Here is a 12,097-nt window from a genome sequence, read left to right on the forward strand (position 1 = left end):
AATGGCCTCTTCAATGGTGCAATCTTTCCAGATTTTCATGATGCTCTCTCTATCAAAGTTATCTTCCATAGCATTGACAACCCTTTCCATAGGGTTCCATGTGTAATGACCCTCTGATCTAGAGGCTGGATGACAGATGTTTGGGGGCAAGACCACTTTGACGCCTTTGGTGTTAAACTCATTGGGTTCTGGGTGGCCAGGGGCATTGTCCAATATCAAAAGAACTTTAAAAGGCAGTCATGGCCGGGCACGGTGGCTCACGCCTGTAATCCCAGCACTTTGGGAGGCCAAGGTGGGCGGATCATGAGATCGAGGCCATCCTTGCCAACATGGTGAAACCCCGTCTCTACTAAAAATTCAAAAATTAGCTGGGCGTGGTGGCACGTGCCTGTAATCACAGCTACTCAGGAGGCTGAGGCAGGAGAATTGCTTGAACCCAGGAGGCAGTGGTTGCAGTGGGCTGAGATTGCACTACTGCACTCCAGCCTGGCGACACAGCTAGACTCTGTCTCAAAAAAAAAAAAAAAAAAAAAAAAAAAGGCAGTCGCTTCCTGACTTCAGGGACAAAGTATCAATGGAACCAATCCAGGAAAACGTTCTCACTGTCCTGCTTTCTTGGTGAACAATGAAAAGATTGGCAGGTGGTGTTTTTTTCCCTCCAAGGCTCAGTTTTATGGATAAGGACAGCCCCGATCACAAGCTCAGCTGCATTTGCACAAACCAGTAGAGTTGACCTATCCCTTCCTGCCTTAAGTCTGGTGTTCCTTCTCTTCCTTACCAATAAATGTCCTTTGTGGCATGTTTTTCCCTAAGAATTGGGCACTTACATCTGCACTAAAAACCTGTTCAGGAAGATATCCTTTCTCCTCAAGGATTTTCTTTTTTTTTTTTTTTTTTTTTAAAGACAGCATCTTGCTCTGTCGCCCAGGCTGGAGTGCAGTGGTGCAATCTCAGCTCACTACAACCTCCACCTCCTGGGCTCAAGCGATTCTCCTGCCTCAGTCTCTCAAGTAGTTTGGATTACAGGTGCCTAGCACCACACGCGGCTAGTTTTTGTATTTTTAATAGAGACGGGGTTTCACCATGTTAGCCAGGCTGGTCTCGAACTCTTGACCTCAGGTGATCCACCCGCCTTGGCCTCCCAAAGTGCTGGGATTACAGGTGTGAGCCACTGCGCCCGGCCCTCAATGATTTCCTTAATGATGTCTGGGAACTCAGCTGCTGCCTCTTGGTCAGCAGAAGCTGCTTCTCCTGTTATCTTGAACTTTTTAAGCCAAACCTCTTCTAAAATTATCAAGCCATCCTTCACCTTCCCTTTGCTTTGTCAGATAATGACTTCACTTTTTCTTGAATCATATTAGAATCTACAGTATGCCTTTCTCATAACAATCCTGTACCCACATAAAAGCTGCATTTGCAATGAGATTAAAAAGGATTTAACAAAACGTGCAAGGTTTTCGTGCCTGCTGGCATAGCTGCAGCCATGTCTCCATGAGTTTCCTTTTCTTTTTTTACACTATTTCTTACACTGGATTCATTTATCCTGAAATGGCAGCGACTGCCAGTCTATGGTACATACCAAGCAATTCAGCTTTTTCTGTAAAGCCGTGGCTTTCCCTGCTTCTTGGGAGAAGGTTCAGCATCTCCAGGGGCACTTCCTATGGGCCCCATGGTGTAATTCAAGGTTTACAGTATTGCATTAAACACAATGAAAAATACACGAGAGCTATAAGAGACCGCCTTTTACGGTAACACACAATTTACTGGAGAGACGAACAGCTCATGCAGAGGCGATGAGCATCACACAGCATTTTAAGGGATACTTGTAACTCCTGAGCTCACCACAACAGCAAGAGCAGGGGTGATGAAATGAGGACAGGAGTGCTGGAGGGACTACAGTTGAGTTTATGAAGTGATGATTTCATACAGCATTTCTGCATTTGTTTATATTTCTCTTGACTGAGAATGTGCATACATTCTAATAAATTTTAACTTTTTAAAAAGATGTGTGTATATTTTATGATAGTCAAGGATAAAACAGACTAGTATCTACATATAGTTTATGCATTCATGACATATGTTTTTAATTTTCTTATACTTTTAGGCTATGTGGTTCATCTGTGAGTTTTTTCAAGTTGTTGAAAATCTCCAAAAATGTTAATATATTTGTTGAAAAAAAATCATGTATAAGTGGACCCGTGCATTTCAAACCCATGTTGTTCAAGGGTCAGCTGAATTTTTAAGGAAAGTGGAGAAATCAAATGTCTACATTTTATTTTCTTCTGCCACAAGCACATGCTTATTTGAAAAGTATTCCCGTGCAGTTGCTGCTGTAAGGGGTGGCGTGGGGCCTGGGAATGTGCACTCCTAACAGGTTCCCAGGTCAGGCTGCTGCTGCTGGTCCAGGGCACCCCACTTTGGGAACCACTGGGTGAGGGTAACCCTAACATTTACACAGTGTGTCACTATTTACAAAACACAACTGTTACATAAACCATTTACAATAACGGACCAAGGTGCATCCATATTTTATTGAAATCTCCATTTTTTTATTGAGGAAACCATGACAGGTAGAGAGCACTTTGCCAGGACAGCCACGGAGCCTCAGTGCTGAGATTCCAAACTGATTTTTCTGACTAAGGTTTTGCTATTTATTTCACTAGGCTGCCAAAGACAACTCCCATTCACACATGGTTTAGGGCATCCTCAAATTCCCTCTAATCTCACAGGTGTTTCCAAAACCATCTTTGCTTATTTTGCTATTTTTAATTCAGGACTGATTTAATATCAAAGGGTTTCTGAGGATCCACTCTTCAGAACTCCTGTCTGCCTGCTGTTTAGATTAAATGGATAAGGGAAATTATAATGACTGAGTCTCTTTTCCATCCATTATTTCCAATGATAAAATACAGAGGTTAACAGCAGCAAGTACTTTCTGGACACTGACCTTTTGCCAGGCACTGATAAGAATTTTACATAAATTTTCTCGTGTAACCCTCTCAACAGCACTATGAAGAAAACACTTATTGCCCCAATTCTATAGACAAGGAAGCCAGGCTGAGGGCAGGCAGCCTTCCAAGGCCACTCACCTCTTGAAAAGCGCTTCCTGAGATCAGCTGGCTCCCATTTGCATGAAACCTCAAAACACACACTGAATGACATAATACAGTGGCAGGAGGTGAGGTAAAACGTATCCAGGAAAGGCCTTTTGTTTCCTCAGTGAGAATGAAATTAAATGAAACATCTTTTGGTCCAGGGGATTCTTGGGGTACATGAATTTTCTGATCATGACAACTTTACATGTGACACAGCAATTGGAAGCCCAAATATCAATATTTTAGTAGATAGGCAGGTTTCTTATGCTGTGATCCTACACAGTGTCATAAATACAGAAGGACAATAAGCCTCTTGTATGACACAGAGCGATGGTAATGAACAGCTCTGCAAATGATTCAATGTAACCACAATCCATGTGTGAAAGAAACATTTTAATTAGAGGTACTCACTGGATTCATGAAGCACTTCACCCACCACAGAGAAACGAGCTGTGGCTAAGACATACTCAGAAAACAAACAGAGTTGGAAATAAAACCTATGCGGGTAAATCTTATGCCAGAACCAAATCAAGGGAAGCAATATTTTTCAGGCAAAAGATGAGGATGTGGCATAAATCTGTGGGTGCTGGAATAACGCTTGACTGCTCAAAAATGTTTTTACAAAAATTGTAAGGGACTGAATGTACTACTGAAGAAGAGAAGTGTTTTGGAAACAGGACTACACCGATTCATTACAACTATTTTGTAACTCTGTTGAGCCACATCTGTGAGAATGAAGTTTCTTTCATTTTTCCTTTCACAGAGTACCTAACGTGACCTTCATTTCCCTTTACCCAAATTAACCCCACAGCAGAAAGGAGACAAAGAATTACAAACAGAAGTGAGTGTTGCACTCCTGAAACTTGACAATGGTAGTGATATTTTCCACAGGGGAATCAACTATCATATTATGCTCACTTATTTTGCTTTTGAAAATAATTCCAGAAATGATATTTTCTGAATATTCTGCACATTTCTTCAGATACTGAATTTTTAGTTTATAAAAAAGTAAACTATTCTCAGAAGACCAAAACGTGCAAGATTTAAAACAAAGTCACACTAAGACAGAAGCCTTGCCTCCTTACAGCAAGAGGCAGAGGCTCTGTTAGAGAATTCCTGATGGTGGCACGCAGGGCCACCTGGCCGCCCGCCACACCAGCCATGGGAGGCGAATGGCACCATCTCATCAGGCTGCAAGGCTGACGCACAATCTCCAACTCTTGTCAACCTCCATCAAGGTCTGGCAAAATAAATATGGCACACACAGTAATAAACCCCACCCTTTTCTCTGGCACTTCCTCTTGTAAAGACGTAGCAGAACAGGGCACTGGTGTGGTACCACCCACCGGTCTAACCAGTGGACAGTGGTAAATACCTGAGGCAGCAGTAACTTTTTAAGGCCTGGGATAATATGCCATTCTGTGTCTACGCTCCATGTTCCTTATCCATTCCCCTGAGACGGACATTTAGGGTACTTCCACACTGTGGATACTGTGAAGAGTGCTGCAATGGCCATGGAAGCGCAGGTATCTCTTCCATATACGGATTTCAATTCTTTTGGACAAATACCCAGGAGTGAGATTGCTGGATCATGTGGATTCTACTTTTTGCTCTTTGAGGAAACAACACACATTTTCCGCAGTGGCTACCTCATTTTGCATTCCCACCGACTGTGCGGGAGCTCCCCTTTCTCCACATCCTCATCATCACCTGTCTTTCTGATATTCTAACAGGTGTGAGGTGGTGTCTCAATATGGTTTTGACTTGCATTTCCCTGATGATTGGTGATGTGAGCCCTTTTTTCCTGTACCCATTGGCCATCTGTATGTGTTCTTAAGCAAAATGTCTATTATTCAAGCTTCCTTTGGGCCATGATCTTCATCTGATAATTTCACCTACTGATGACATTTGCCTAAGTCAATTACTCCATCTGAGATTGAAGAGGGTGATTTTCTAATTCTGCCATTCATCCATTCTACTTGTCTGCAATTCTCTAAGAAATAACTTTCCCTTACCAAGTAGGGTATTTGGTTTACTTAAAATACAGTCCGAACAGGAAAGGCAGACAAATGTTTAATTATTTTCCTTTATAAGACACACTTCTGACTAAGGGACAGGTGCCCTAGTTACCTCCAAATGGGGACCAATGACATTTTATGTTTTTGTTTTTAGCTATAGCTTTTTGGGGGGAGCATTATCAAAAATGATGAGGGTTTAGATATACAATGTTGAAGTCAATCACAGTCATTACTCTTTGGATGGTCAGCTAGCCCTCCGCTGGCCAACAGAATACGGCACAGGTGTGGTGCTGCCCGCTGGTCTAACCAGCAGACAGTAGTGCATGCCTAAGGCAGCAGCAGCTTTAAGGCCTTGGGAATTGGCTGTTGCCTGTGGCCTTGTTATATGACTCCATTACCCTTTGATTTCTTTTCTCTTTGGCACAAGATGTCCCTGGCTCATCTTGTAAGTCTTCTGCCACAGACCTGGAACCAGCTCTCCACCCAGGGAGTTCTGGCTTCTATTAGTGGGGAACGGCATTTAGAGGTTGCAAAGAGGGTACTAAGGGTGATGGCTGGAATGTCACTGCTTCCAAGCACCTTCCGTGGCAGGAGCTAAGAAATACTGGTATTCGTGCACCAGTTGCACATGGTTTTAATTCGAAAGGCTTTCCAACAGAGGTTAACGGCTGACAGGGCAAGTTCTCCTCATCATCATGTTCTTTTTTCCGGGGGTATTTGGACCATTGTTACTTGTTTATTCTCCCAAGTAACTTTCAGTCTAACAGTACAGCTACAGAAAAACCTACTGGCATTTTGTTGTTGTTGTTGTTGGGGGAGTGTTAAATCTACACATTACCTACAGAGAACTGCCTTCTTTAGGAAACTAAATCTTCCTATCCAAGAACAAGTTAGGATTTTGCGTTTGTCCAGGTCTACACTTCTGGGGGAAAAAAATGTTCTTAATGCAGGTTTTGCAGAAATCTTGTTAATACCGGAATGGTTTATCCTTTTTGAGGCTATTCTCAATGAGTTCTCCTCTTCCACTATAACTTTTCAGAGGTTATTTTTTATATCTATAAAGACCATTGAATTCCATATATTAGTTTAAATACTACTACTAATCTTTCACTTAATTATTTTATTGTTCATATTGGCCACTAATTATCTTGGGTTTTCCAGATATGCAATCTTGTCACCTATGAATAATTTTAGCTGTTCTTTTCAGTGGTAATATCTGTTAAGTTGTCCTGTCTAATTTCAAGAGAAATACCTCCAATACCCTGTAAAATAGTCATGGAATTAATGAACATTCTGGCTCTGTTCCCAACCACAGAATGCCTCTAAAGTTTTCTCAGTAAGATGTCAGCTTTTGGGCTGAGATAAGCATTTTATCATTTGAAAGAGGCATTCATGGATTCCTCTTTTACCGGGTGTTTTAGCAGAAATGAATCCAGAATTTTATTGAAGCATCCAGGAACATGGTTATAAGAGTCCTCTTTTTGTATCAGTTAATATTATGAGGGAATTATTAGTGGATTTATTGATAGTGAATCATGCTTGCATTCTACGCATAAACCCCACTTGGACATGATAAATTATTGTTAATGCACTAATTCTATGTTCCTATTTAAGCTTTTCAATTGATATTCATAAATGAAATATAACTCCTTTCTGAAATTTCATCAAGTTTTCTATCAGTTATGGTTACTTCAAAAAGCAGTCTGATGTCTTCCTTATTTCTCTATGCTTTAAAACAGTTAAGTATCTTTGGGACTATTTGATGTTTAAGAGGTTGGTAAAATCCCCTGAGAAAGCACATGGGCCTGGTACTATTTCACAAGGAGTTCTTAGGAAACGTTCTCTATTTCTTCTACGAAAAGTGGCCTGTTAAATTTGTTTCTACTTTGGGGGCCAGTTTGATAAACTAAATTTCTGTGACTCAACCATTTGTATAGAGGCTTTCATATTAATTTGCACAAATTATGAGAAGCAGTCTCATGATTTTCAAAATCCTTCTGCTCCATGCTTCTGCCTCCTCCTCATTTCTTATTATAGATTAAGCTTTCTCTCTTTATAAAAAAAATTGCACTATTAAGTTTATTTTGTTGCTTGTGTTTTTAAAAAGCTAGTGTTTTGGCCAGGTATGGTGGCTCATGCCTGTAATCCCTGCACTTTGGGAGGCCAAGGTAGGTGGATCACTTGAGGTCAGGAGTTTGAGACCAGCCTGGCCAACATAGTGAAACCCCATCTCTACCAAAAATACAAAAACATAGCTGGGCGTGGTGGCGGGCGCCTGTAATCCCAGCTACTCAGGAGGCTGAGGCAGGAGAACCTCTTGAACCCGGGAGGCGGAGGTTACAGTGAGCTGAGATCGCGGCACTGAACTCCAACCTGGGCAACAGAGCAAGACTCTGTCTCAAAAAAACAAACAAACAAACAAACAAACAAAAAACAAAAAACACAACTAGTGTTTTAATTTATTTATTAATTCTACTGATTCTCTGTTTTCTAACTTATCACCTGCTTTTATCTCTATCCATTTATTTCTTCTGATTTACTTTGTTGTTCCCTGTCTGGCTTTTTAGGTAGATATTCATTTATTTTTTCCCTTTTAAAAACGTCTGTGATATAGGTATTTGGTGCTATAAATTTCCCTTCAAAAACTGGTTTATGGGTATTCCAGAGACACTGATATATCATGTTAGAAACAACATTATTTTCAAGAAATTCTACAATTTCCTATTTTGTTTGACACCTTTAAACCAAGAGTTGCTTAACAGATGGAATTTTAATATTTAGAAGCAAGAAATTTTTTGGTTTTTAAATTTGTACTTTGATTGCATTATAGTGAGAAAATGTTGATTTTTTGTTCTTATTTTAATGTATTGAGCTTTTCTCTGGATTCATTTATGGTCATTGTTCATAGATGTTTGATGTGCACTTGAAAATAAGACACTTTCCTTGCTGGCAGACAAACATTACTATGAATATCTACAAGATAATGCATTATCAATTATGATATAGAGGTTTCCTATAACCTTATAATTTCTGTGCACTTGACCTGCCAAGGACTGAGACAGATACGTTAGTCTCCATTATTAATGTGTGGCTACTTATTATTTGGTTCTTATTGTTTCCACCTTGTGAAATTTGTTTATTTTCTTCAAAATTAGATACTAACATATACTGTATTTTCATTGTGAATTTTAGTCTTTGGCATTATAAGTATCTTTGCCTCATAATTTTTTGGTTGAATTGTGTTTTGTGCGATACTAAAATCATATAATCTGCTTTATTTTTATTTTCATTTGCCTGGTATACATTTCACATCTCTTCTCTTTATCCTTTCTGGATCACTTCGGATTAAAGCATCTCCTGTATTCAGCATGGACTCAGATTTTTTTCCTCATCTGTAAAATCCAATCTGAAAGTTTTTTTCTTTTTTTCCTTAAACATTGATATGAGCCAGGCATGGTGGCTCAGGCCTATAATCCCAGCACTTTGGGAGGCTGAGGCTGCAGGCCTGAAGCCAATTGTTTGAGAGCAGCCTGGACCACATAGTGAAACCTCATCTCTAAAAAACTAATGAGCCAGGCTGGGTGGCATGTGCCTGTAGTTCCAGCTATGTGGAAGGCTGGGGCAAGAGGATGGATTGAGACCAGAAGTTCAAGCTCATAGTAAGCCATGATCGTGCCACTGCACTTCAGCCTGGGCTAACAGAGCAAGACTCAAAAATAAACAAAAACAACAACCACAAAGACATCAATATGACTGACATTTTCATCTCAGTTTCATCATAGTATTTTATTTTTAATTCTATTTAATGTATGGCAGTTTACGGTTTATTTTATTTGTCCTATCTAGATAGTTCTTTGGGCACTTAAAAATGGTAGAATTCTTCTTCCAGCAGTTATCTTTTATTAAAAGCTTTATGCAAAACTCTTGGTCCACTCCTCTCTAAGACAATGCATGTTAGTTCCCTACTATGCCCAATAGTGAGGTTGTCTAGCAACCATTTTTCCATCTCTCTTCCTCTACATCCAATTTTAATCATAATTATCTTAATATTTATACTCTTAATTACATTTAAGAGTTTACAATTCTATTGTCAGCTTCAACTGATCTCTTCTTATTCAATTAACATCTACAAGGAGAATCAAGAGAGGTATTCTACTTTCTAGTTATATTCTCACATCTCCCAGTTTTGTACTATTAAACTATAACAGATAGAATATTTACAAAGTATTCTGGTACCTTCATTCCCATTTTTTATCTTACATAGTTAAACATATTCAGTGCTCACCTTGAGGCTTTTGCTGAAACTTCTTCAATCTTACCTTGGTTTTATACAGCTTTATTTTTTTTTTTTTCAATATAACTCAAGGGAACACCATTCAGTTCTGGCATATTCATAACTGTGTGTCTGGTTTTATACTCAAAAAAAAATTTAGCTGGATATTAAAATTCTTGACTCAGATTCTCTTTTTGAGTAAGTAAAATACATTCTTCCCAATGTTTTTTTAACAAAAAAAGATGATTTACAAAAATCCAATCCAAGCTGATACTCTTTCCCTTATAAGCATTTGAACATTTTACATGGATCCACAAAGGTGTTTTTTTGTTAATGTTTATAGTCAAATAGATTTGTTAAGCTATATTTCTGTGCAAACTAGTCTGAGTCAATTTTCCCAGGTATTCGTTCAATATCTAGATTTAACTAAATTTTTTTAATTTTAGAAAATATATTTTTGAACTATCATAGTATTTGTTCTGTTTAATTGACTTTTTAAAAAAATGTCCAGGGACTCCTTTTACATGTAGGTTGAATCTCTTTTACCGAACTTCTATATTTACCTTTCATCTTGAATGTCTTTTATCATTTTCTTTATTTACTTCTCTCATTTGTATCCTTTTTCCCTATTGTGCTCTCTGTATTTGCTTTCTATTATATTCCTTTGTATTTGGTCTTTATTTCTGAATTTTTTTCTAATGCTTTCCTAATTTTCATCAGTTCTCATTTCATATATTCCTGTTGTCTAGCAATTTCTGATGTTTTATGTGTTTTCTTAACTTTCTTAAGCTAATTTGCAAATATATCATTAGTTTTCACCTGTTTAGCAGACACATTTTTATGGTGTACTCTTGTTGTCTGTGAGAATATTTTTTGGTTCATCCTTATTTTTTTTTGTATTATTAAAAAAAACTGTGATATCTAGAAGTTGTATGACACAGAAATCAGGAGATATAGAAAAAAATAGAGAGAGAAGATAGGTAATTTGGAGGCATGTTGTGAAAGTCCTTTTAAGACACACATAAGATCTTGGTTCTACATAGAGAGCTTGCAGAATATTTTAAACACATAGTATTTACAAAGAAAAGTGTAATCATATTTACATTAAAAAGTGTCATGATCATCAATAATCTGTTTTCTAGTCATTTCTAGTCATTAAGAGAAGTTTGTTAAAGTCTTCCATTATGATTGAAGATACTTCTTTTTCTTCTTAGAGTTATATCATTTTTGATTTATATATTTTGAAACTACGTTATTGGGTGCATACAGGTTTATGACATTTTCTACATAAATTGGCATCTTTGTCATATTAAATGTTGTTCATTATTTTTAGTAATGCATTAAGACCCAAAGTCTACTTTACACTAAAGTATTATCATATCAGCTTCATTTCCCATCCTGCTACTTTCAACACTTCTGTCTCTACACTCTTAATTTCCAATGATATATCTTTCAGTTCTAGGAAAGTCCAACAATGCAGTAAAATTCTCCATCCTTATATCTGTGGTCTCTGACTTGTACTCTATTTCCCTGAATATATTAATCATGGTTATTTTTAAAACCTTGTCTGCTAAGTCCAATACCTGGGTCACCCATAGTATTGTTTCTATTATGTTTTTTTTTCTTGATTTTTTGCCTCTTGACATACTTGTAATTTTTGACTGAAAGCTAAATGCTATGTATATTACAAAAAAAACTCCCAAGGCTCAAAATTACATTATTGTACTCCAGAAAGGTGGGCAGATGAAGCAAGAAAAGACTTCCTTACTATAAACAGAGTTGAGCAGACTCAAGGCTGGATTGCAGCTTGGGTGAGATTCCATCAACTCCTGGTTTATCCAGGGGTAAGCTAAGGTGTCCATTGGGAATTCCCACCCTACTAGCAGGTACTGACCTCTAATATTCATAGCCTCAGCCCTGAAATATTGTTAAAAACCCTACTCTGCTTCTAAAGGTCTTCTGCTGAGCCTACCTGTTTCTTGCCCTCCTTAGCTCCAGAATTGAATAAAATATGTTGACAGGAATACTGGTAGTGTCAGGCATGGCACTTGACCCTCCATGGCCCTAAAGTTTTCAAGTTTTTATCTCTACATCCCTGCAATATCAAAAAAAAGTTCTGCCAATTTTTATGCACAACTTCACCTCTTACCATTCATACACACACACACACACACACACACACACACACACACACACAGATGCATCCCTCTGTATGGCCTTTGCCTGAAACATAGGTCTCTTTTTTTTTTTGTTTAGAAATGGCAAACTCCTTCAGAGAAAAAGTACCTACAGAATGTGAGCTGCCCCTTTGCATCTCATAACCTAGTTAAACCAGGGTTTGTGTAGTAGTTCTGATAGGCACCCTAGTTAGTTTCACGCTATTCCATCATAGCTAGTGCTGAACCTGAATATGAAGAATGTGATCTTATTTGGAAAAAGGATTTTCTGCAGAAGAAATTAACTGAAGGGTATTGAGATCAGCTTGGATTTAGGGTGGGCTGTAAATCCATTATCAGTGTTGTCTTAGTCTGTTTTGTGATGCTATAACACAATACCTGAAACTGCGTAATATACAAAGAATGGAAATGTATATTCTTACAGTCCTGGAGGCTGGAAAGCCCAAGGTCAAAGAGCCAGAATCTGGCAAGGCTTCCCTTCTGCATAATCACACAGCACAAGGTGAAAGGGCCTAGAGGCAAGAGAGGGACAAA

The 12,097-nt window shown here is 38.4% G+C and overlaps 1 protein-coding gene across 16 annotated transcripts in view, besides 1 other annotated feature; it reads right to left on the minus strand.

Annotated features, from left to right (window-relative positions):
* The window catches only part of WDR27 (WD repeat domain 27), a 275,610-nt gene that overhangs the window by 159,916 nt on the left and 103,597 nt on the right, over window positions 1-12,097 (minus strand). The gene's annotated exons all lie outside the window — the stretch shown is intronic.
* Window positions 3,385-3,554: a silencer, noted in NCBI's record as "silent region_17796". NCBI's record gives its function as "represses an Ori minimal core promoter by ATAC-STARR-seq in GM12878 lymphoblastoid cells {active_cell/tissue: GM12878}" and the evidence as "EXISTENCE:reporter gene assay evidence [ECO:0000049][PMID:35858748]".

Source organism: Homo sapiens, chromosome 6 (assembly GCF_000001405.40).
Source record: "Homo sapiens chromosome 6, GRCh38.p14 Primary Assembly".
Classification (NCBI taxonomy): Eukaryota; Metazoa; Chordata; class Mammalia; order Primates; family Hominidae; genus Homo; species Homo sapiens.